Raw genomic sequence first — 27,112 nt, forward strand, 5'->3', positions numbered from 1 at the left:
TTCAAAGCCAGCTCTTGAATTAATGACATTCATATTCAACTAGCTGTGGAATTTCAGGGGTAATATGTCAGCCAGATAAAGGCAAAAAAGCATGCCAGTGTCTACTGTGGCATATCAGCTCCTGTCCCCCAAATTTGTTTATTAAAATTTCCTTGTTAAGGATCCGTTAGTAAGCGTCACTTCTGAAATTGATGTGTATTTGGAGAAGCCTCAATTCCTCTTTGATATTGAATATTACTGTGGCTCTCTGATGTGTGAATTCTTTCATTCTGCTAGGTCTCACCCAAATTCGCTTTCTCTTAAGTAAAAAACAACTCAAGGTACACGTTTATACCATCCCTCACTTTTATTTTTATAAAAACTGATCTTTTCATCTGTTGAGCTACTACCTACCCGGGTTGACTCTTGGGCTAGGCATAGAATCACTACACTTTTGCATTTGAGGCTCCAGGCCTTGGCTGGCTTGGACAGGACACAAATATAAACTCATTTTTTTTTTTTCCCACAGCCTCTCCTCTTTTGCCTGCTCTGAGGGTTCTGGCTCTCTCACTGACAGCCCCTCCTCCCACTCGGGGAGGGGTCTGCACCTGCAGAGTCATTCCCTTGGCTTTTCAGGTACATAATCAGGATAGCAGTGAGGGGTGGATAGATGGGCAGCACATGAAAGGAGCTATTCTAGAGCTTTTGAAGTCAAGAATGTGAGGGTGGCTGCACATGGTGAGGGAAGGGGGGTTTTAAGTACTGATGTGGATAATGTATCCCCTTCACAATAGTTAAAAGACACGAATGATGTACTTAAGTTAGCCTGAAGTTACTTGTTGGTCGCTTTCTTTGCCCATGATAGCTCTCTGTGACTGGACCACATGGGTCTTAGTGTCAATGGGGCTATACTAGAATCGTCACTTTCCAGTCAAGAGTAGACAGCATTAAAAAGGGAGCAGCCCCAGGACCACTAAAATCACACAGGCTGATCCAGTGATAGTCCACGGGGCAACAGAAACACTAGGAGCCTGACAACAAAAGGTTGTTTTCTTATGATTTTGCTTTTCACATTACCTTCTCACTTACAGTCTTCTTTTGGAAACGAATCTTCTTTCTATTACAGAGCTTAATACACAATTTTCCACTTCCCTAAAATTTTATTAAGTGCTTTATGGAACAATTTGCATGAGGTCTGATTTTCCAAGTTGTTGGCTGTGCAGCGTAATGACCTCATACTTTTTCATCTAGTTTCATGCTATTATTTATATAAAGAGGTGATTGGTTTGCATTCAAATTAGGCATATGTGAAACTGGACACATTTTTGCATCTAAAAAACACCATTGTTGCTCTATTTCAGTGCTGTCCACTAAAAAATAATGTGAGCCATGTGTGTGATTTTAAATTTTCTAGTAGCCACAATAAGAAAATGTAAAAATAATCAGGTAAAATTAATTTTAATAACATTGTTTAGCACAGTTTATGCAAAATTATATCACTTCAACATGAAATGAATTTATTAATGTGATATTTTATATTTTTTGTACTAAGTTTACACTATCTGCCATGTATTAACATTTAAAGCAAATATCAATTCAGACTACATTTCAAGTGCTTGATAGCCACGGGTGGCTAGTGGCTACCACACTGATGAGCACAGTTCTGTTTTATGGTCATGATTAGTTGGGTACCAGTTTGGCTACTAGGTTCTTTCTGATTTACTGAGTGTATTTGATGTAATCTGAATGAGGGCACTACTGGGAGTGGCAGAGAGTTGTTTAGTCAGTTACATTAATCATTCATTCGTTCTTCTTTTCATTCACACACTCATTCAACAAACACTGAGTACCAGGTCTTATGCTTATTCTAGGGATACAGAAAGACACAGGAACAGTTCTTATATGTGACAAAGGCAATGTCTAGTGGAAGAGACAAGCATGTAAACAAGTAACTATAACTACAGCACAGTATAATAAAGTACATACAAGAAACATAGACATAGTGTTATGGGATTTATATTTGGAAAAATTAGAGTTCTATTTCTTATCATACACTAAATTTTAAAAACTTCCTAAAAGTTCTAGAATAAACTATAAATATATTTCTACATATTCTTGAGGGTGGGAAAAATCCCCCCCTTTTTTCCCCAAGTTTTAGATAAAATGTTAATGCAGAAAAGTCGAGTATAATAGAACACAACCAGTCTCTATTCACCCAAAATAGTAAATATTAATGTTTTGTCACATTTGTTTCAGATTTTTTAAAAAATGAAGTGAATAGATTTTCAGATTAGATGAAAACTTCGTGTCCCTTCAAAGTCCCATTTCTTTTCTGCCTTTTCCAGAGGCAACTACTGTCATTAATTTGATGTGTATTCCTTCAGTATATTTTTGTGCTTTTACTGCAAATAGATGCGTTTACAATGTGTAAAATTACTTGGTACATTTTAGATTTATATACATGGTATTATACTGAATGCATTATTATTCATTTTCTTCTTTTTTCCACACTCAACGTTATATTTTTGAGACCTATCCTTGATACACATCAAAGATAAAAATAATTCCATTGTATATCTATTCTATAGCCATTTTTTTAAAGATGATGAACATTTAGGTTTTTTTCTTTCAAATTTTCACTATTGCAAAAGTGTTTCAGGGGCATCCCTGTACAAGTTTCCTGTACACATACATGAGCATCTCTCTAGGGTATGTATCTACAAGTAGAGGAAGTATAATACCAAAGGCAGAAATCATAAAGGAAAAGAGTGATAACTTTGTCTACACAAAAAGTTTAAAACATCATCAGAATAGTAAAAAGCATTTCAAAGGTGGAAAGAAAAAAAATAGGAATAACATTTGTAACAAATATGGCAGAGAAAGTTCACTATCCTTAATATATAAAAAGTTTTCACAAATCAATTTGAAAAAGATATCAGTGAATAAATTGGTAGAGATAATAAGCAAACAGTTCACAAAGGAAGAAATATGAATCAGTAGTGAACATGTGAAAATAAGGTAACCTTATTAGTAATCAAAAGAGTGAAAATTAAAAGAATAATTATCTTTCCTTTTGGCCTATCAGACCAGCAAAGACAAGAAAAGAATGATGATATTCAGTGTTAAAATGTGGGTGTAATAGGCACTTTTTTTTTTTTTTGAGACGGAGTCTCGCTCTGTCACCAGGCTAGAGTGCCATGGTGCGATCTTGGCCCACTACATTCTCCGCCTCATGGGTTCAAACAATTCTCCTGCCTCAGCCTCCTGAGTAGCTGGGACTACAGGCACACGCCACCATGCCTAGCTAATTTTTGTATTTTTAGTAGAGATGGGGTTTTACCATGTTGGCCAGGATGGTCTCTATCTCCTGACCTTGTGATCTGCCTGCCTTGGCCTCCAAAACTGTTGGGATTACAGGCGTGAGCCACCGCGCCCGGCCAGTAGGCACTTTTATATACTGTGGGTAGAGTTTAAATGGATGTAAACTTTCTAGAAGAGAATATGGTAGTATGTATTAAAGGCTTTATAATATAAAAACTCTGACTCAGAAATTCTACTTGAAGGATTAATCCAGAGAACATAAATCAGAATTTTGTGTCAATATGTCTGTGATGAGGATGTTTCTTGTAGTGTTATTTATGCTATAAGGTTAAAGATGGCTTTGCCTAAACCAATGAAGAATATGACTAAATCAACCCAAGGTTAAAAAAACCTAACTTTAACACTAAAGATGCAGTTAATTTTCTTTTTGAGACAGGGTCTCGTTCCATCACCCAGATTGGAGTGCAGTGGTAAAATCATAGCTCACTGCAGCTCCAAACTTCTGGGATCAAGCCATCCACCTGCCTCAGCCTCCTGAGTAGCTACGATTGTAGGCATGTGCCACAGCATGTGCCTAATTTTTGAATTTTTTGTAGAATCTTGCTATGTTGTCCAGGCTGGTCTTGAATTCCTGGCCTTAAGAGATCCTTCCACCTTAGCCTCCCAGAGCACCGGCATTACAGGCAAGATGCAGTTAATTTGAAGAAATTAGAAAGACCTCCCAAGAGAAGTTACTTTGATCGTCAGGGTCTTGAAGGATGGGAATTTGTTTGCCAAGGGGTGGAGGTGGAAATAGGGGAAGGGCATTCTGCAAAAATAAGTGGCCAGTACCAAGGCAAGAAGCCTCAGGAGAACCTGCTCAGATCAGGGAGTGACAGTGATTTTGTGTGATGGCATATAGGGAACATGAAGAGGAGCAGAGCCAGGATGGAGCCCTCTCTGCTCTGAGCCCATCCCATGATGTCATGATCCAGCTATTGCTGGGAGGCTTTTTAGGATTTCATCACAAAGTTCGAATTACTTGGGGTTATTTCAACTTGAGTATTTAATTCCATCAGAATATTTCTTGTTTTCAAATTTTAATTTAGCATACTCTTCCAAAGAATGTTCCAAGTAAGCGAGATTTTGCTGAGTGGGCTTTCATTGCTACATTGCATTTTTTAACAAGTTATTTGCTTAAGATCCTTTCCTTATGCAGCTGTCATTGTCAATGTACAGTTACACGGCTGCTCTGGTCTCTCCAGAACCCTCACTCCCTTGGCTGTCCCTCTGGTTTGGCAGGTGACTTCAAATACTTTGCTTTGCAAACTATTGGAAGAAGCCAAGAGTGTGTGGCTCTAGGCTTAGAGTCACACTGGCCTGGGTAGGAATCCTGGCCATTTTAAGTGTGTGATCCTGGGCAAATTACTTAGCCTCACTCAGCCTCTGTTTCCTCTGCTGTGAAATGGAGTTGATGTGTGAGGACCACATGGATAATGTCTATAAAGTGGTTTTCAGAGCTTGTAGTATGTGCTAAATAAATGTTAGCTATTATTATAATTACTATTTTATGGGTAACTGGATTCCTTCTGCCTTCTCTTATTAATCCCCAGGGGATTGTTTATAATATAGGCCTAATTAGCTATTTATGGTTCTAGAACTTCTCTTGTGTTTCCTACCTCAGTGGCATGTTGTTGAGAGGAAGCTGAGAATTCATTGTCTAGGCTGACTCTTGATCCCAGGCTTCAATGAGCATAGTGTAGGAGGCCTCAGGTCTCCTAAGTTAGCCAGTTTATACAGGGTGTGAGGAATGAGCCCTTTTGGGACCACAGACTGTGGGTTCGAATGGCACATGCCATTAGGTTATCTATCTGTGGAATCCCAACATTCATGCAGCCTGGTTCATCCCACCCTTGAACAAATCACCAAGAAGCAGAGATTCTAGAGAGAGAGAGTCAGGGCGAGAAACTCATGGATTCAGCCAGGTGACCTTTGGAGTTGAAGCCTCCAAGCATTTGGGAAGTGATAGACCATTACTGGTGATGAAATCTCAGTGGACTTTTCTTTTCAGAAGTGTCCCTTCTCTGATTCTTGTGATATCACTTGTAACTGTCAAGAATTGCTCTTATCACAACATCCTGTTGAGTCACTTGTCTGCCTCTCCCATTAGACTCTAAATTCCTTGAGACCCACACAGTCTCTAGGAAGGAGCATGGTCTTTTGGAATTGAGTCTTCTACACAGCTCTAGGACTTGTGACCTTGGTCAGGTTACTTGTTTCCTCATCTGTAAAATGAAGATACTTACTGATTTATAGACTTATTATAAGGATCAGATATAATTTATGAAAAGTGACTGGCATATAATAGTTGGTTAGTAAATGGTAGCTGGTGACTATGAGAACAACCACGATATCAGCAATGATAATGCCAGAGTAGCACTGTGCCTGATGTGTCTGTCCATCAGCACGTGTTTTGTGGATAGATGGTTGGATGAATGAATGGTCAAATAAATTCATGTTTAAATAGATAAGTAAACAGGCCGGACATGTTGGCTCAAGGCTGTAATCCCAGCACTTTGGGAGGCCGAGGCGGGCAGATCATTTGAGGTCAGGAGTTCAAGACCAGCCTGGCCAGCATGGCAAAACCCCATCTCTACCAAAAATACAAAAATATTAGCCGGGCATGGTGGTGTGTGCCTGTATTCAGCTACTTGGGAGGCTGAGGCAGGAGAATCTCTTGAACCCGGGAGGTGGAGGTTGTAGTGAGCCAAGATTGTGCCACAGCACTCCAGCCTGGGTGACAGAGTGAGACCCTGTCTCTGACATAAATAAACAGATGAGTTAACAATTCCAACAGACTGCAACCCTTGTCCTTTTTAGCCTCAACCACATTTGATGGCATCAAACACACTCACATTTGCCTCCTCTCTCATCTTTTCGGGCTCAGAAGTTTGCAGATTCTCCTCCCTTGTTGACTCTTCTTTCTTGGTCTTTTTTCATTTCTCCTGTTCCCTAGAATGTTAACCATTCTCCAGAGCATATTCTTGAACATTGCTTTTACTGCTTTCACTCTCAAGGATTTCATTCTTTATTAAGGCTTCAATTATCACTGGTATGTAGATAAAGTCGAGATGTCTTATATAGATTCTTCTGCATTCTGGGCTTATATTTCTTAAAACTTATTTGTCAAAAGGATGCCCTGTTGACTCTTTAAAATTGAACTTACCATCTTCTGCCTGAAGCCTGCTCCTTCCCTGGCATGGGTATGCACATTCATGGTGTGGCAGCTTTTCCAGGCTCCCAGAGGCTTGACGTGCCAGAGTCATTTCCGACTCCTCCCACCCATGTTCCAGGCAGTCACTGATCATGTAATTCCATCTCCATATGCTCTTGCATCTGCTTCCAACCTCTTTTTTCCCCCCAGGCACTATTCTGATTCAGGTCCTCTCTATGATCTTAAGCCAGTTCTCTGAAGTGGAACACTTAAACACTGAGTGCTGTAAGAAATATTAGAATTTCTGCACATATGTACATTTTAATCTCAATCTTTGAAATGTTCTGTTTTATATATGTTTTATAATGTAAATAATTTATTAGAGTAGTGTATGTATATACGATACAATAGAATAACATTTTTATTAGTAGAACAATAATCTGTTATACACCAAGAAGCCCTCAGTAGCTTCTGTGTTAGGCTGTTCTTGCATTGCTATGAAGAAATACCCAAGACTCGGTAATTTATAAAGACAAGAGTTTTAAGTGGCTCATCGTTCTGTAGACTGTCCAGGAAGCATGGCGCTGGCATCTGCTCAGCTTCTGGGGAGGCCTCAGCGAGCTTTTTCTTATGGTGGAAGGTGAAGCGGGAGTAGGCACCGCACATAATGAAAGCAGGAACAGGAGAGAGTGGGAGGGAAGGTGCCACACACCTAAACAACCAGATCTCACTAGTACTCATTCTTGCAAGGACAGCACCAAGCCATGAGGGATCCACCACCAGGACCCAAGCACCTCCCACCAGGACCCACCTCCAGTATTGGGGATTACATTTCAATGTGAGATTGGGTCAGGGACAAATATCGAAACTATATCAGCTTCTAACTGCCTATCATATTGAAAACAAACTCACCTGCCTGTCATTGAAGGCATATATAGTACCTCCTTTCTAGGCTGGTAAGGCAGTCCCTGGCGTAGAGTCCCTTGCACACGCTGCAGGCTCTAGCCAAATTGAACTACTTACTGGATGCTTTTAAGCTCTCACTTCTTCACCTTTATGACTTTGATTGTATTGTTCTCTTCTCTTACTCTCCATTTGCTATAAATAATATGCATAGTGGTTAAGAGCAAGGAGATTATATATATCCATTTCTATCTCAGTCATTGAAATGTTCTATTTCATATAAGTTCAAATCTTGGCTCTAACACTTTCTAGTTGTTTTATTTGGGCAAGTCACTGACACTTCTGAACCTCAACTTCCTCATCTGGAAAATAGGGATAACAACAATCAGCTCACAGGTTTGTTGTGTGGATTTATTAAGTAACACATGTGCTGAGCTTAGCACCATGTCTGGCATATTCTTAATACCTGATCTAAAAGTGAGAGCTGCTGCTACTGCTTCTATTACTCCTTTCTAGTATTTTTAGTCCAATTCTCTCAAATGTGAGATTGTGCAGGAAAGTAAAGGTTGTTGTAACATAAAAATATTAACAAACGAGCTTGCCATTTATGTGACTATTCCTTACTCAGACATCCCTCCAGCATCATATGACTAACCCCTGCCCATTCTGACATCATTGGTCCGTTTCAGTAGAATTGTTTAATATTTTTAATACCCAACAGCACAATGCAAATATGATGCAAGGTAACTGTAAAATAAAACTAAACTTTGCAAAAGATGTTAGATACCATGAAGTCAATGCAACTTCATGATATTAGAAAAATGATAATAGAAAAATGCTGGAATCATGTACAAAGGCAATGATCTAAATTAGGATCTAGTGGAAAAAGAGAAAATTGAACAAGTATAAGTATAGGCACTTCAAAAAAGAATGTTTTAAATATCAAAGGATTAAGAGGGAATTTGGAAGAAATTAATGAAGCTTTTAAATATTACTGCTAACAGAAATATTTTAAAAATACTTGGTCAGAGTATTTAAATAAAATACAAAAAACATTAACCATAAAAGAAATATGTATAAATCTTGCTACGTTAAAATTAAGAGTATCTGCTCCCCAAGAGAAATCATAAGAGCACAAACTTTATATATCTTTCTATATCCAGAATATATAAATAATTACAAATCAGTAAAAAAAAATACTATATGTGAACAGGCATTTCTCAGAGGAGGAAACACAAATGGATAAACTTGGGGAGAAAATAACTCAACCTTATTTTATAAGGAGGGAAATGGAACATTTGATGGGACATATGATAACATTGAGATGCCATTTTACTGTTTCTAGAAGGACAAAAGTTAACATGTCTGTATTAGTTATCTATTGCTCCATTACAAATGACCATGAATTTCACAGCTTAAAACAACACACATTATCTCATAACTTCAGTGGGTTGGGAGTCTGGGTATGGCTTAACTGGGTCCTTTGCTTAGGAATGCCTAACAACACTCAGCAATGGCAAGTATGCAAATCAATGGGAATTTTTATTGTTTTTTTGTTTTTTGTTTTTTGTTTTTTTTTTTTGTTTTTTTTTTTTGTTTTTTTTTTTTGAGACGGAGTCTCGCTCTGTCGCCCAGGCCAGACTGCGGACTGCAGTGGCGCAATCTCGGCTCACTGCCAGCTCCGCTTCCCGGGTTCACGCCATTCTCCTGCCTCAGCCTCCCGAGTAGCTGGGACTACAGGCGCCCGCCACAGCGCCCGGCTAATTTTTTGTATTTTTAGTAGAGACGGGGTTTCACCTTGTTAGCCAGGATGGTCTCGATCCCCTGACCTCATGATCCACCCACCTCGGCCTCCCAAAGTGCTGGGATTACAGGCGTGAGCCACCGCGCCCGGCCCATCAATGGGAATTTTTATAAAGCACTTTGGAAAATAATTTTCTATTACCTTAAAAAGTTGAATGTTCATATAGCTTTAAGATGCAGCACTTCCACTCATAGGTCTATATCCTAGAAAGACTTGGACTTGTGAACTTGGGAACATGCACAAGAATGTTCATAAAAACAAAACCTGGGAAATAACCCAAATACCCACTGACAGGTGAATGCAGAGATTGGGAATTCTTACCCAGTGGAATATCAAATCAACTACATGAACAGAAACACACAATAACCATAAGATTTATGGTTCAATAAATCTTAGAACCATATTATTGAGGAAAACAAGCAAGCCAAAGAAAACTAGATACACTCAGATATATTTTCATAAAGCTCAAAGCAAAACTAAGTAACAGATATGTGATAAAACTATATGGAAAAATCAAGGCAATTATGATAATGGGTTTCAGAATGGTGCTTACCTTGGATGATGGTTGTAAGCACAGGGGTGGGTTGGGGAAGGGAGTACGCAGTAGCTTCCTGGTAATGAGAATATTCTATTTCATAAGTTGGGTGATGGGTTTACCCTGAGCATTTATTATCATGCTTTATAGCTATATATGCTATGTATTTTCTTTTGTATGATTTTTACATAATAAAAATTTAAGAAAATGTGCACTATAGTAGTCAGATATATGAAATCAAATTATACTATAATATAATGTTGTCAGTTATGTCAAAAAACCCCAGTCATTTTAATTGGGGTTTACTGGTTATTTGTTCTAATAAGTAGCACATTATTACAATTAAAATGTAAAATTTGTTAATTATAAGACAAAAAACTTATGAGTATTAGATCAGTTTTTCAAGGAAAAAATCTCACTGAAACTTTTATTTTATTGTTTATTTTGAAAATTGGACAGCATTTTATTTCATTTCATTTTGGGAGGCTGAAGTAGGAGGATTGCTTGAGCCCAGGAGGTCAGGGCTGCAATGAGTTGTGATTGTGCGACTGCAATCCAGCCTGGATAACAGAGTGAGACTCTGTCTTAACAACAACAACAACAACAACAACAACATATTTTCAAAGAAAAATAGCAAAAGCTAATTGGAAACCTACTTATTCTTCAACTCCAATTTTCTTTAAATTTGGAAGTGACTTACTGATTTACTATTTTTTTTTTGAGACGGAGTCTCGCTCTGTGGCCCAGGCTGGAGTGCAGTGGCGCGATCTCGGCTCACTGCAAGCTCCGCCTTCCGGGTTCACGCCATTCTCCTGCTTCAGCCTCCTGAGTAGCTGGGACTACAGGCGCCCGCCACCAGGCCCGGCTAATTTTTTGTATCTTTTTTAGTAGAGACGGGGTTTCACCGTGTTAGCCAGGATGGCCTCGATCTCCTGACCTCGTGATCCACCCGCCTGGGCCTCCCAAAGTGCTGGGATTACAGGCGTGAGCCACCGCGCCCGGCCACTGATTTACTATTTTAAACAACTCCTCTTCTTCCCCTTTAAACATTTACCGTCTACGCATGCTAACGTCTCCAGAGATGACTGCTCTAGCATGCATCTATAGGTCCTTGTTTAGCTCCTTTTATCAAAAAATACCAAACACAATTCTATTTTTTGCATCTGAAGGGCTCTATTCACCAAGAATAGGAAAAAAAAATTCTTTGGAATAGCCAATTAAGTTGAATTTTAAAAAAACCACATGAATGTGATTTGGTTGGGTCAGGAATCCATTCCTGTGTTCCCGGTAATCTGATACCCATCCTTGAATCCTTGTAATTCATCCTCCCTATCCTTGCCAAGTTATGATTTGAATCCAATGATCTAGCTTCAAGGATTGAGCCCTCTCCAGTCCAAACATTTATAACCAGCAAAACCAAAGGAAAGGAGGCAAAATGTAATCAGAAAATGTTTCTAGGGAATGAGGAGTTATGTCTGTTATGCGCTTAACAGAGGTACATCAATAACTATCAAATTCCCTCAAACAAATTTCTCCACGGTATTCAGATAAATTTAAGAAATTTAATCGTCATAGAGACAATGGATACTATTTAAAATGGATTAACTTCAAGTGGCTTTATCTATTCAATTTGTCCTTTGATAGTGAAGACCTTTTCAGATCCACAAATACAAATATTACTGCTACTTCTTCTCCCACCAAGATGCATCTGAAATATTTCCCTTTCCGTGGCCCACCAAATTGATATCATCTCCACTTTTGAACTTACCTACACATGCATAGTACTCCTAGCACCTCTTTGGGAACCTGGCATGACTGTTTTGTTTTATAATGACTTAGTTATTTGTTTTTCCATAACTGGATACTAAACTCTAGACCTTACTGATTATTTTTTGGTGGGGAGTGGACAGAGTCTCATTCTGTCACCCAGGCTGGAGTGCAGTGGAGCAATCTTGGCTCACTGCAGCCTCTGCCTCCCAGGTTCAAGTGATTCTCCTGCCTCAGCCTCCCAAGTAGCTGGGATTACAGGCGCCTGCCACCATGCCCAGCTAATTTTTGTATTTTTTGTAGAGATGAGATTTTGCCATGTTGGCCAGGCTGGTCTCAAACTCCTGATCTCGAGTGATTTGCCTGCATCGGCCTCCCAAAGTGCTGGGATTACAGGCGTGAGCCACCGTACCCAGCCGACCTTACTGATCTTTGTGTGAACCTAGAACAGTCACACACATAGAGTTATTGCTAAATAAATACTTAGTTGACTTGAATTTCTCTGGACGTGTTTCATTACTGGCTTTAAGAAAAGTCAACACTATCATGATTTTTAATATGTGCAAATTCTTCACATGGATTAAATTGCTAGGAAAGCAAGCAAACAGCCTTGGTAACAATGTTCAGGCTAGCCTAGAGAATTACATACTTTGTACCAGATTTTACATACATATATTTGCATTTTGGAAATAAAGTCCCTTGCAAAAACATCTCTCAAGAAAGCTTGTGTTGCTTACATCAGAAAGCACCAGAAGCATTTTTCCTATTGTTACAAAAATGGTGAAGGTTAGTGCATGCAAATTTCTCATATGCCTCATAAAACACTTACTCATCTACATCTAAAGCCAAGAACCACTGTGTAACCGACTAGTTCCCTGCTCGTAAGGAACTCGGCTGTGTAATTCTGTTTCATCACCAAATGCCAGCATTTCCTGTCCTCTCTAGGGGGCTTTACTACTTCATGACATCATAAACAAGATAGGCCCAGAGTTCAGTTTAGCTGACATCTTCGTTATAAAACCAATAAACAAGAAAGCCCCAGGGTATTAGGCATTATTTTTTCTTTTCTGAAGCTAGATAGAAATGTAATATGTTTACAGAGTTTCTAATTTATTTTTCTGTTAATGAAAACAGGCATTTCCAGATAAATTAGGCCGTGTTCTAGAGTTGCTTTTATATACAGAGGGAAGTAATTTTGCTTAGAATTTTAAATGTAACTTTTGTCTTTTGTTAAGAATTATGGATGGTAGTGGGGGGATGGAAAAAGGACTGAAACCAAGCACAGAGGCAAAAATGTATTGCCTTTTTTTTTCAATTCTGGAAAAGAGTTATGTGTGCAATTAGGATTTCTGTGTTTAAGGAGGCTGTTTAAAAAGTCAACACATTATTTAGTTGAGGAATGTAGTTTAAGAATTATGCTTACGGCTGGGTGCAGTGGCTCATGCCTGTAATCCCAGCACTTTGGGAGGCTAAGGAGGGCAGATCACGAGGTCAGGAGTTCGAGACCAGCCTGACCAACATGGTGAAACCCCATCTCTACTGAAAATACAAAAATTAGCTGGGCGTGGTGGCATGCCTCTGTAATCCCAGCTACTCAGGAGGCTGAGGCAGGATAATCTCTTGAACCCGCGAGGTGGAGGTTGCAGTGAGCCGAGATGGTGCCATTGCACTCCAGGCTAGGTGAGAGAGTGAGACTCCATTTCAAAAAAAAAAAAAAAAAAGTTATGCTTACATTTTTATATTTATGTGTATCAGTATGTACATGCACATACAAGTAGTCTTTTCAGAGCCAATTAATTTGAATACATTTGCAAGTCTTATGAATTAAAAAAATGTTTGAAACTACTTGAACTATCAGAAAACCTCTACAAATATTGAAGAGATCAAGGCAAAGTTGTACCTCAAGTGATTTTCTGAGTTATACACAACATACATAATAAAAAAATATTGCTCGAAGTGATGGAACTCATAGGACCAGCTCAATAAAGTGAATTATGCAAGCTCTGCTAACTGGAAGATGTTATTGAATGGTTTAATTCAAGTAAAAGTTCTCAACACAAATATATCTGTACCTGTATTGATGTATGTTGGTAAAATACGATGGGCATAGTTTGCTGACCTGACCGTGTAATTGCAGTCAATGAAATTATTAAGCTTCCTCAATAGAATGAGGAGAGCACAACAGCAGGTGCGAGTTATATAGAGAGAGATTCACCATGGTTCTGGCCTTAAAGGCTCAAAATTCAGTTGGAGAGAAATAATGGGTTTATAAAGATAAAATATTGTTGGTAGTAACATGATATCTGTTGACATTTTGAGAAAGAGATTTTCTGTGTATTCTGTGAAGTAGCTTCTCTCAGAAGCAGTGGTTATTGAATAAAAAAAATCAACATTATCTTGAACCCATTGGGTAAGGCTGGAGTGAAGGCAAGATGGAATCTCTTTCCTTGGAGTTCTTGGCACTCAAGCATCTGAGTGGGTAGCTTTTGCCCTGGTAGGTGTAGATAAGCATGTGTCTTTGGTCTGGAGGAAAGCTGCCTGTTTCGCTTGAGTCAGCTTGTTCACAGAGTGAGGTGATTCTTCCCAACTCTCACCCAAGCAAATTGATGACTCCAGGGTGAGCAGAATCAATGCACTGGCATTTGCCAAATACAGATTCAGATGAAAATGGAATAAATTAGTTCCTCTCAGTCAGTTATTGCTTCGTGTATGCGAGCTGAGGAAGAAGGGGTGCTGAGGTGCATGTTGAATGTGAACTACCTTCTGTTTTCAGCTGAAGATATAAACAGACAGTGATTATAAAACTGTAGCTTGGTGGGGAAAGGAGTTCTGTGAGAAACTCAATTTCTCCCTCTGAATTGTACCTGGAGTAGCACTGACTCTTATTTGCATAGGCTGTTCAGAATATGTCTGGAATTTCCATTGTGAGGTTACAGACTGCCACCATGTAATAACAGCATTACTGGAAGCTAATACTGTAATTAATTTCTTACTACCATACTTAGCTGATATTGACAATGAGATGTGTGATTACCCAGCATAACTTGGCAGATTCTTCACAGCAAAAGAATTCATAATCACATCTGATGGCCTGTCCAACGGAGAGAACAGGATGTCTAGGAAGAGGCTATCATTTCAAGGATGGACATAGTATGGTTAGTGCTCTCAAGACATGCTTAGCCAAAGAGAAAGCTAGTATTTTGGTATTAGTAGTTGAGCTTGATTCCAGTACAGCTGTTCATAAAATAGTGAGGCATGCTACAAAGCGATATTGCTGTGCATCACCAGAAAACTCGGAATAAAAGAAATGCCAAACTGAAGATGCAATCTTTTGTTGGTGGGGAAATAATATCCTCTTTATGATATTCTTATGATGTTTCATTGACATATGGTGCTTCTAACCAAGTGACAAATTAATTGACTAAAGAGAAATGGATGTGGCTTAGTAAAGAAGGACAGGATATGTATTATAAGGCAGCTGGTTCTGCCACTGCTGGCTTATGGAGACAATATACATTGGACAGCTAATGAGTCTCTGTTGCATAAGATAGATTCTCTTTATAATAGAATTGCACGCTTTGTCTCTAAATGGGGTTATTATACACACCATTGCACAATGTTTGAAGAGCTTGGTTGGCCCTTGTAGAGGATTACGAGAGAAATAAATTGGAAGACAATGTACTGAAGACCTTCAATCCATCAAACATTTCATATTTATCTAAATTACTAGCACATTCTCCAAAAATATGAGTCTGTATGATACACAAGGCTAGAATGTTAATGCTGACCAGACTTTGCTTTATCAGACAGGTTTTCCACTGTAAGCATTGACCAAAATTCACGCACAGTGAAGCCGGGCAATACACATTCCAACAACTGCCCCCATTCCATTTGCCTCTGCTCTTCATGTATTCCACTATCTTAGTCCCTGAAGTTTCATTTGTTATTTCTTCTACCCACCATGAACACACAGGGCTCACTTGCCCTGGGTTATTTAATTCTCAGAACTTTTTGACTTTGACTACCCAGACAGCTTTAGTGGTAATTCAGTTTCTTCACTTTTCTCCATACTTGTGGGCCCTCACAGTTCAGTTGCTCAGCTATTCTTTATAATAAATCCATTTCAATTAAGGTTAAAGCCTAGAAAGAAATACTAGGCTGGATGTGGTGGCTCAGGCCTGTAATCACAGCACTTTGGGAGGCTGAGGTGAGTGGATAAAATGAGCCCAGGAGTTGGAGACCAGCCTGGGCAACATAGCGAGACCCCGCCTCTACAGAAAGTACAAAAATTAGCCAAGCATGGTGGTGCATGCCTATAGTCCCAGCTACTTGGGAGGCTGAGGTGAGAAGATTGCTTGAGTCCAGGAGGTTGAGGCTGCAGTGAGATATGATTGTGCCACTGTACTCCAGCCTGCGTGACAGAGTGAGACCCGGTCTCAAAAAAAAAAAAAACAACAACAACAACAAAAAACAAACCAAAAGAACAAAAAGGAAAGAAACAAAATATTGGAAGTGACGAAGAAGACAGGATAAATGACAACATCATTCACTCTGTGTCAGAACACTGTACTTTCTATTAGAGGACATGGCAGGGCTTATTCAGATGGTGTAGATGGGGAGATGGAGGAGGTGAGTCATGCTCTTACCATCATTACTCTCTAATGTGGCTTTGAACCTGATTCCACTTTCTGGCTTGATTCTTCTATCCATGATATCATGTAGATGGAATTTTGTAGCTCAATTTTGCCCAAATATTTTCAGGGTGATACCATGTCTTTGAGCCCCAGGGGAAGTTTTGCACAGGAAAGGTGATTCTTGGGGTATATCATCACTAGGTTTTTGACTTGCCAATGGACTGTGGAGGCACCATTAATTCCTGCTGATGCTGAGATCCTCACCTATGTGGTGAGGTGACAATATTTTGTTTCTTTCAAACTTTCTTCTCTGTGTCTTTCTCCTCTCAACCTACCAAGAGTAATTGAAGAGAATTACACCTGTGAAACATTTCAAGATGCTTGGAGTAAGATGGTCTTTTCAGTTTAAGACATTATTATATTCCAAACCAGATTGCTTTCTCTCTGTCATTGTGAGGTTCTTTCCTTTGCAAGTCTATCTGTACTCTGGTATAGAGAAAGGTGAGCTGAAAGAAATGGACAAAACTGTTTCATGGACTTCTCCACATATTTATTACCCTCTCCAAATTGAATCTTGAAGCCTTGTCAGAAGTGTTATTTTCCCAACAGAGTAGGTGTTAAGTGTCTCTAGAAAATAAACTCACCTCCTGATATCTTTCTCAAGATTATATTGTAAGGTGTGACAGGAGGTGTTGTACAGCAAGGGAAGATCATCACTTTGTAATTTGATTTGTTCAAGTTCTCTTCTTTGGCACGGGCTTTTGGATTTCCTTGTCATTTCTGGAATTATTTCTTAAATGGTGAGTATTTTTTTCATATGTGTTTTTCCCAGAGCTTATTCCATCCAAATACTTTTTAAGTTGCATACACTCTTCTATAAATAGAGCTATGTTTTTGTAATGGAGTTTCAATAATTTGGCCAGGGAAAAGGAAAAACTGAAACAAATGGTAACAATGACTAGTTAATGATTTTTCTTTCACCTGATTTTTTATGACTTTTATATTTTCTGCTAAAAGCAGATTATTTGATAACAATACTAAGAATACTTAGCTGTAGGTAAAAATTAATATCCATTTGACTGAATGTTTCATTTAATGACAGGGCTTGTGCTTACCACAATTATCTTAAGGAAATAAATGTGTACAGAGACTGATGAGTAGACACACTAGACTTTATCAATGTTTATTCAAATTATTGCAGTTTAGTGATTTGGAAATCTAGAATTGAGATGCTTTAGAAATAAATCTTTGCTTATATGTAATTTCTTTAGTTCAAGGGTCGGAAAACACTTTACAAGCAATTAAACTCTAGGATTCAAATGAGGATTTCATATTGTTTATTGTTTAAATAAAGTTACAGAATTATCATTTGCTTAGGGTTTCTAGAAAATCCTTTCTTTTAGGTCTACAAATATGCATACCCAAGTTTCCTTGGATATTTACCTCTTCCCTCAAGACATTTTCAGATTTCTTTTCTTCCCATGCCATCATATTTCTTTTCTTTTTTTTTTCAGATGGGGCCTGGAGTGCAGTGGTGCACAGCTCATTGCTCCCTCGATCTCCTGGGCTCAAATGATCTTCTCACCTCAGCCTCCTAAGTAGCTGGGACTACAGGCATGCACCAAAATGTCTGGCTAATTTTTGTATTTTTCTTTTTTTCCTCTCTCTTTTTTTTTTTAAATAGAACCGGGGTCTCACTATGTTGCCCATGTTCATCTTGAACTCCTGGCCTCAAGCGACCCTCCTGCCTCAGCCTCCCAATGTGCTGGAATCACAGGCACGAGCTACTGCACCAGGCTATTATATTTCTTGAAAAACTCTCTTTTTTACTTCCTCCTGCAACCAACTCCTCCAACCAGAGTCAGTCACTCCCTCCTTTTCTTGGCAAGATCTTGTATCCTGCCCTTGTCTCCCAGTCCTTGTGATCTTATGTTCAGGTAGAGAGGAACTTTCTCTTACTCATTGTCTTATTACTTGTATCCAAATGTTGGGGACATTCCCAGCCCTTCATAAGGATTGTTTCAATGCATGACTGAATGAATCTGTGAGTGAATGTGATCACTGTGGAGCTGTGAAGTAGCTTGGGCCACTCCCAAATTGTGCTGGCCATGCAGTGAAAGGCATTTTCCCTGTTTTGACGGGGCTGTTTATCTCTGCTCCTGGTTCTGCTCTCCACTAGGAAAAGGAGAAACTCTACATGGAACTAAAGCACGTCTTGGCCCGCCAGCCTGGACCTGAGGCTGCGGAACAGCTGAAGCTGTACCGACGCACGCTGCATGACAAGAAGCAGCAGCTGAAAGTAAGTGGTAGCCCCTGTTCCTTCCGGGTTCCAGGGCAGCCACACTCTGGGGAGCACACCTGGACAAGTCCACTGACTCCACACAATGAGCCAGTCTCTCAATGCCACGATCCTCTGAGGTCAGCTCCCTTAGAGCTCTAGTCTAGGATGAGCCAGCAGACCTCAGAGCTATCCTTCTCTTCCTGGACTATTAGACAGCACCATTCTCCATTTCCAGAAAGAGGCAGGTGAGCAAGGGAGGAAAAGATGATGACAACAGAATGGAGATGTGCGGACAGGGTTTGGATGAATGATCTTGAGATGATTTATTAGAGTACTTGAAGGGCAGGGAGGAGCAAAGGAAATATTTTAACACCATTGACCAACTGAAGCAGACTGCCGTGCCACAGTGGGTCCCTGGTATTCCATCCCATCTGAAATAAACATACACAGAAGAAGTCCAGCCACTGCCCAGCCCTGAGGGCCTTGCTTCCTGACCAGCTGTCAAATATGTAACCATGAAAGGGAAATAAAATCAGGCAAGATTTTTTGATAGTGTGATTCCCTTCTAAGTCACATAAGACCCTCAGTTGCAGAGATATGGAGTGTTTTACTTTTCTATGTGCCTTTTGAAAGTTTTCTCAAAAGTTGTGCATGTTCACACTATATTTTGAGCTTCACCTTCTAAGCAAGTACTTAGCTATTCTTGGCATATCAGGGAAGTTTTACACACACAGCCACAGGATGAAGCATGTGCCAGTTGAATTCTGGCACTTCCTGCCCAATGAGGGTAATAATCGTTGACTTTCTGCCTGGGGTAAAATATATGCCACCCTACTAGTATAGCCCTAACCCCTTCAAAAATAGGACATTGTAAAACTGCATCCTTTTATTTTAAAAGGGCAAATGAAACAAGTCTAATTAGAGCATTAATTTTCAATTTGTCACTCTGAATGTTCATTTCACTTGAGTATCTTGAGACATAATTTGAATTTTGCATAGGACGTAATCTTTTGATTATTTTGTTCCTTTAAACAATTGAATATTTTGAACAAAACAAATTATTTTCTTGTTTTCTCAGAGGTAGATATAGATTAGAAAAGCACAGAGCTGTCTTATTCACACAGAGCTCCGGGTTGCCTTCAAAGGCTCACAGGAGCCTTTTGTGAATTTAACCCTTTATCTCAGGAAATCCAGATTTTTTGCTCAAATGAAATGTGACCCCTCATGAAGAGGTTTAGAGGTGGGTGGTACTGAGCATGTCTGCCAGTTTGTCCTTGATACTTACCTACTCTTATAGGAAATTCCACATTCATTGTTTAGAAGGAGGGTCTTTGTTTCTAAAAGTTTAACTACTGAGACAGGTTTTTTTTTTTTTTTTCCAGCATGAAAATTACGTTCTTTAGCCCATGATAACCTAATCAAAATCATTTTCACAGCAGTGAAGAAGAAAGAGTTCAGAAGCAGATGAACACTAAGAAGGCTAAGATCTCCCTTTTATGCAAATATTTAAAACAACAAGCAAGAGGAAAAATAAATCCAGCCTATTGCATGCCTGTTAGAACAATACCCTTCCTTTTCTCTTTTTGGTTTTGGTGGGGAGCACACCCCAGCTTTGGCATGCGCTATGTCCTATGCAGATGAGTGAATTCCCACTCTTCTTGTCCAGCCCAAGCCCAGCAGCAGCTACCGAACACAGCAATGGAAGGAAGCAGATAGTCAGGCTTTGAAGAGTCCCGAAGAACACAGTAAAGAGGGGATAGGCATTCAGCAGCATCACAACCCTGGAAAACACATAAATTGAATGCTTAGTTAGCAGTGATGGCAGGATGACTTCAGAATAATTTTTTTCATAATCCTCAGATGAATCACACACTCTGGTGATGTTTTTCTTGAATATTTTCTTTTTTTTTAAGGCTTTAAAAGCAATTTTAGACTGTGTGTCTGGGAGTTTTCTGTCTCTATTCATGATATTCCTTGAAGCACATTAGACCATTCATCTGTGAGCCTGTTCGAATGTTGTCTAATAGTTCTTGTTTTAAGTGGGGGAATGATATTTTGTTTAAAGTTGCAACCTAGTGATGCATCTTCAGCCCTCAGCCAGGTTTCTACTCAGATGTGGACCCTGAGCTGGTGGAAGCATGCAGATTAATTGTGAAACTTGGGCATTGTTTTGCACCTCTAGCTCCACTGCGGTAAATGGTAGCAGATTAAAAGATTTCTCAGAAAAGGATATTGTATCTTTTGTTAATGCTGCTTTATTTGCCATGTTAGGTTTTGTCTTCAGAATTGAATATGTATGAAGTACAGAGCAAAGAATATAAATATGAGGTAGAGAAACTTACCAATGAGCTCCAGAATTTAAAGAAGAAATACCTCGCTCAGAAACGTAAAGAACAACTTCAAAAGTAAGAATTAGTCAAACGTCCTAATTTTGTTGTGCCTATTATCTGCACATAAGAAAATATTTGGTGAACAGTCACAGAGTTGCAAGTTTCACTGGGGTAAACTAAATCACAGGGTAAACAAATGACATTCTACAGGTCACTAAGTTTGTATCAGAGCAAGATCAGTGTCTCATCTGATACTGAGTCCCCTCCTTGGGATTCTAACAGGGATCCATTAATATCTGCTCATTGGTGGATCTACCATGGAGCAGAGGAAATGTAATATGACTTTTCTCCCCACACTAGTCTATGGTTTGGAGATAATAATGTCATAACTATGTTTGCAAATGAGTTTCAAAATCAGCCTTGTACAGCATATTCACATTTAAAACCACATGTGCTTTTGCTAAGGGACCAGGGCTTAGTAAAGCTGTTCTTTCTAATGATGCCCCTGTACCACTATAACTACTAGCAGTTCACCTATGTTTTATTTATTTATTTATTTATTTATTTATTTATTTATTTATTTTTGATTTTTTTTTGTAGCAACAGGGTCTTGGTATGTTGCCCAGGCTGGTCTTGAACTCCTGGCCTCAAACAGTCCTCCTGCCTCAGCCTCCCAAAATGTTGAGATTACAGGGTGAGCCATGGTGTCCTGCCTGCCTAGGTTTTTAGATAGTTATTATCTCTGAACCATCTTCTATGTCTAGTGACTGACTTCAGCATCTGCTGTGGAGGGTTGATGTGACCTATTCTTCTAGGAGATGATAATGAAGAGGTGAGGTTAACATTTTGGTTTCAGGATGCTCCCATGTTGAAAAACAAAATTTCTCTTCACATTGTTAGTATTATTTGCCTGATCCCAGGGTGAAAATCGGGGCCCAAATGAATCAGGTTTGAAACGAACTAGTTTTGAAACTTGGTTTGGCTGCGTGACATTGCCAAAATCATCCAGTTAATCTTGTAGTGACTCACGTTATGGGCTGAAATTCATGCTTGGTACTTATCCACATGGACATTTCAGGGACATGGTGAAATATGGCTTGAGTGCATTTGCCTATGATTTGTTAGTAGCAAAGTTATATAAGGTAACTGGATGCAAATTCATTTGCCAGTAAAAGTCTGCCCTTCTTGTAAATCAGAATACTCCCCCGTTCCACATTTAGATGCCAGTTCCATGGTAGAGTAAAATACTGCTATAATTTAGATAAGTCCATCTTAATGTGTAGGTCTACCAGCTATCTGTCTGGTTCGGAATCACTAGTGAGATTTATTAAACATACAGGTTCCCAGGCCATATTTCCAGATACTTGGATTCAGCAGGCTCTGGAAACCTGCAATTTAATAAGCTTCTCAGGTGATTTTCATGCACAGTGAAGCTTCAGAACCACTAATATTAACAATGTAAATTAAATGAATGCTGGAGTGGAAACACTGTATTTTTCTTTTAGGATATCAAGGTTGTGCTCATAAAATGTCAACATGGTTAATTTCCACATGAAGCAGGTGTCTAACTCAATGGTCTTCAAGCTCTTTGATTGTGCACCCTTATCAGTAAAACTCTTTTTTTGAGACAGAGTCTTACTGTGTCACCCAGGCTGGAGTGCAGTGGCACCATCTTGGCTCACTCTGTCTCCGGGGTTGAAGCCATTCTCATGTCTCAGCCTCCCAAATAGCTGGGATGACAAGCATGCACCAACATGCCCAGCTAATTTTTTTTTTTTTTTGTATTTTTAGTAGAGACAGTGTTTTGTCATGTTGGCCAGGCTGGTCTCGAATTCCTGGCCCCAAGTGATCTGCTGGCCTTGGCCTCCCAAAGTGCTGGGATTACAGGCATGAGCCACTGTGCCCTGCCAGTAAAACGTTTTTGAACTTGCAGATCCCCTCATGCATATGCATATATCTTTTAAATAATTTAAAAATTTCAGAATAGTTTTAGATTTACCTGCAATGTATTTTAATTTATAAATTATATGCAGATACCATTGCCAGTTTGTAACTCTTAGGCATAATTTTTAAATTTTAAAGATAAAAGTATTAATAGATTTATTAATAGATACATAAAATAGTAAGAAATAATAAATTAATAGAATAGAAATGAAAGAAAATAATCAATTAATAAAATTAATAGAATAATATCTTCTTTCTACCCACAATGGATCATCTCATTCATTTTTTAAAGTTCGTACACTCCATTTGGAGACTGATGGTCTAGTTTACACTGTTATAAACAGCTAGCTTGGCTGTTTATTATCTTTCTAGAGCTGATTAATTTTCTTGCCTTGACCCTGGGGTTTGGCCTAGTCTTCTTTGACATTACTGACTGCTAATCTTGCTCCCTCTCCTGCCCCAAAGTTTGATGGACACAGAGAGCATGAGCTGTCCAGATATTGGCTCAGCCCTTCTTGATGGGTCCATCCACTAGCACTGTGCTGCTCAGCAGTGTGCCACTTGTGGCCAATGAGATTTAAACAAATTACTGTGAAATCAGTTCCTCAGTCTCACTAGTCACATTTCAAGTGCTTTAACAGCCACATGTGGCTAGTGGCTGGGTATAACAGAAAGTTCAATTGGGCAGTCCTAGAAAGTTCTAGAAAGCTCTAGAATCTTTGCCTTTACCTGTCCTCTTCTTGTCCTTACACGCTTATTACTAGTAGCCACTCTGACCTAGTTAGGGTTCCTTTGGTGGTTCCATCTACGTGGGGATCCATAAACTGGTAGACAGAGATTAGTTCATAGGAGAATAGCAAAAAAGATGCTGAAGAAAAAAATATGAAGAGGCAAGAACAAAAGTGCTGAGATGGTATAGACTGGAAAGAAGAAGGCTGAGGGAGTCATTATAATGGTCTATAAATACATTAAAAAGATAATATAAAGGAGACAGTATTCCCATTAGTCAGCTTAGACCAAGCCAGAAGCATTAAGCGTAAGCTCCTTCAGGAAAAGAAAATTCAGGTTATTTAAGGTGAGAGAGGGCAGGGGGAGGGGGAGTGATGCCGCCTCTAACACCAGTCAAGAGCCAGACGAGTTGCCAAAGTACAAGAAAGAATTTGTTTTGCTGGATCCACTCAAGGCTAAAGCTTTTGTCCTATTTATGGAGAATGGTTTTTCACCATAATGAAATCAATTCTGCTGAGAGACAGATGGGTTGGTTACCAATCCTCTACAGGTTCTCTCCCAATGGAATAATTTAGAATAATCTCTGTGGATGTTCTCTCCACATATGCCCTTAACAAAATAGCAACTCTTATCATTTTGTACCTTTTACCTTCTTTTGTTTTTCTTAATCACCCCTCTGCTCACACTGTGATCCCAAACTGCATCTGCCACTTCCCCTGTCTACCCTACTCCACATCCCCAGGCTGATCTACAGTCTGCAGTACCAGATTCTTTTCCAAAAGACAGTTTGTTCCCCTAGGGTGAGTCATTCATAATTGTCCAATCTAATTGGTTTTGGTCTTAGCAGTTTGCTTAATTTTTATTGTTTAACAGGGTTTCCAAAGGTGTTTTCTTTAAGACCCCAACTGTATGATAACTTGTGTAGATCTAGGTTACTTCTGCAGGAAACATGAATATGAGTGTGTGTGTGTGTGTGTGTGTGTGTGTGTGTGTGTATTTAAAGGACATCTATATAGAAGTTACATTGTTGATTTTAGGGCAGAATTCCCTCATCCATTGCCAAAAATACTATTTATCTTCCCCAGCTTTTCTTGTATCTTCAACTATTTCTAGTAATAATGGTTGCTTGTCTAGGGTTACAGGAAAATTTGTGTTTTATAAATGTCCAAGTTTGATGAAGATACCTTCTGTGTAGTAAATATTTATAAGTTTCTACCAGAACTTTGCAATATAAAAGTTGATAAATGATGAATTAGTCATTATAATTGAGCCAAGAAAAAGATTCTTCTGACTGATCTTTGGAGCTAAACAAATGTTTTATAAAACAGGAAGATGATTCCAAGTCAGAAGTCACCAAATACATAGTGCTTGAGTTATAATGAGGTCTTCTGTTCATATTTAAATAAACATTAGGAGAGCATATTTTGCATTTAATTGTCTTGCCCTAATTTTATGTTTTTTTCAGTGAACACCTAATTAGATTTAAACAACTACCTTGTCTAAAACTAGAAGCTGTAATCAAAGTAGTTTTCAGTGGCTAACACACCCTAGGATTATCAAATGTCAAACTTAGACAAAAAGGATGTTAAGGAAGCTAACTTTCACCTCCTCTCTTACAGAAACAAGGACACAGCACCCATGGATAACACCTTCTTAATGGTCAAACCAAATGGTCCTGGTTTTACTGGGGGCGGATTTCCTCTCAGGTCAACCAAAATGACGTTCTAACCTGAAGCTGCTGGCTGTTTCCAGTTGAACAACTCATGAAATCTGCTCTGGGACATTTTGGGGGAATCTCAAAGTCCTTGGATCATAGAACTGAGTGCTGAGAATCCAGGATGGAAAGAAATGCAGAACTATCATAGTCACATACATATAAGAGGGATGGTGTTTTGTCTGGTTCACGTTGATATTAACAGATCATAATTCTCTCTGTTCAGTTAGGCTGACCTATTGCATGAAGCAAATCTTTTGTTGCTACCCCATTGATTGAAATGTACTAGACCTTAATTTCTTTATTACAGACATTGGTGTACTTGAAGGTTTTATATTTAAAAGTATTTTTGAAATGCAATGTGTCCCCTCTCACCTTATTAACAATAATCTATTTTAATTATTCCTCATTAACAAGTCATTGCATGAGATGAGAAAGAAGGACAAACTCTTAAGAATTTAAAAAGTGTTTTGAGAATGATTTCTATATGGAATTTCTTTTCAGGCCCGGAATGGGAAAATCTATTCCAAAGAGACACACTAATAAATACTTCATTATAAAAAATAAAAAAGAATCTTTGTAGAGATTTTGATACTTGTTTTGGTAGAGTATGTAATTAAAGTTTAAAGCTACTGTGAGAAATGTTTAACAAGAGCATTTTACTCACAGGAACCAAGACCATGAAATGAGAGACTTCGGCTGGTCTCCTATCCGTTCTAGGCCTCTGTCCTCCTCCTAGACTTGAGAACACAGTTATTTAGCATAGGCATCTGTTTGGTTCCCAGGCTGCCAGCGTTTTGAGCCATTGAATCCATTGTGATTTTTTGTTGTTGAAGCCACAATTATTGGGGCATCCATTCAGAGTTTTCTCATTAAGAGGTTTCATTCAGTTATATTGTGTGAGGACACTCTGGCCATCTCTCTCACAATAACTTGACCTCTGTATTTTTAAAAAATTTTTGAGGAGTAGCTCAGGGATGACAATCACAGTGTTAATGGATCATAACATTCCCTTTGTGCCAAGGGACCAAGATTTCCCTTGTGCAGAGCAGGAGTGTTAATGACCTGAGATGTTTGTTTAGACCACACAAGGAGGTGGGACTTCAGAGGGACATTCTGGATGTCCTGCGTCACCTTCAGTTCACTACATGCCAGTCTCCACTCTTAAATGAGGTTCTCCAGAAGCAAAACAAAGACATTGGTGTCAATGAAAGTGATTTATTATGAAGTGATCCGAGGAAAACCAGTAAGAGGATGGTGAAGTAAGACAGGGAAGGGAAGGAGGCTGAGAAGGGTGCAATATTATGTCCAGTTCCATGATGGGAGACTTTGGCTCCATCTTGGAGGAGAGCTCTGGAGACAATGTAATCACATCTCAGAGTTGTCTCCAGGAGGAGTGAGGGGCTGGGATATATCTCCTATGCTGTCTGTCATTGGCCAAAGACTGCTCTGGAGGGACCACTCTGGTTCTCTGCTTGTAGGCAAAGCAGGCTTTGGCAGCTTGGTGGCAGCCCTCAGACAGAGACCACAGGTGCTGACTCTTGGAGGTGAAAGTGGTTAAGGGCTCAGGGGGAAATGAGTTGGGCAGTGTCATCCTCTGCTTCTCCCAAATGGGCCCAGTGAGAGAACACTTACAGATGGAAAGCAACCTCCAGTGTAGCTGATAACGTTTTGAAGAGGGTGATCATCAGCTCTTTGGGCACCATACAGGGATATAGAGGATGGGACTGTACCCTAGAGAATTTACCAAGAGCATTTTAAACCTAAAAAAATCACAATGGGGCCATTTCTGTTTTTGAAAATCACTGATGATATCTTCCCTCAGAGCCAACCATACTTTGGTTAGACAAAAGACTTTTGCAGGTAAGGTAAAGCAGTTATGACACATATACAACCCTGGAGATTTTCCCATCTATCCTGAGACATTTCGAAGCATAGTCATAGCCCACTTTATTCTGAGTCCTTGGGTGGCTTCATA

General features: G+C 39.2%; 1 protein-coding gene across 3 annotated transcripts in view, besides 2 other annotated features; it reads left to right on the plus strand.

Moving 5' to 3' along the window:
- CFAP58 (cilia and flagella associated protein 58) overlaps window positions 1–25,720 on the plus strand; it is a 116,583-nt gene extending 90,863 nt beyond the window's left edge. For all 3 annotated transcript variants that reach the window (NM_001400226.1, NM_001400227.1, NM_001008723.2), the window contains 3 exons: window positions 18,316–18,435; window positions 20,689–20,822; window positions 25,040–25,720. In NM_001400226.1, coding sequence (NP_001387155.1) covers window positions 18,316–18,435; window positions 20,689–20,822; window positions 25,040–25,148 — 363 coding nt within the window. In that variant the 3' untranslated portion in view covers window positions 25,149–25,720. The remainder of the gene's footprint in view (window positions 1–18,315; window positions 18,436–20,688; window positions 20,823–25,039) is intronic.
- Window positions 433–1,034: an enhancer, noted in NCBI's record as "OCT4-NANOG hESC enhancer chr10:106189573-106190174 (GRCh37/hg19 assembly coordinates)". NCBI's record gives its function as "activates a minimal SCP1, AML or CMV promoter by ChIP-STARR-seq in naive H9 embryonic stem cells {active_cell/tissue: H9 hESC(naive)}" and the evidence as "EXISTENCE:reporter gene assay evidence [ECO:0000049][PMID:30033119]".
- Window positions 15,522–16,721: an enhancer, noted in NCBI's record as "P300/CBP strongly-dependent group 1 enhancer chr10:106204662-106205861 (GRCh37/hg19 assembly coordinates)". NCBI's record gives its function as "activates an origin of replication core promoter dependent on BRD2, BRD4, P300/CBP, MED14 and CDK7 cofactors, with strong dependence on P300/CBP, by STARR-seq in HCT116 cells {active_cell/tissue: HCT116}" and the evidence as "EXISTENCE:reporter gene assay evidence [ECO:0000049][PMID:35650434]".
- Window positions 25,721–27,112: the final 1,392 nt, after the last annotated feature.

The sequence above is a fragment of the Homo sapiens genome, chromosome 10 (assembly GCF_000001405.40).
Source record: "Homo sapiens chromosome 10, GRCh38.p14 Primary Assembly".
NCBI lineage: Eukaryota > Metazoa > Chordata > Mammalia > Primates > Hominidae > Homo > Homo sapiens.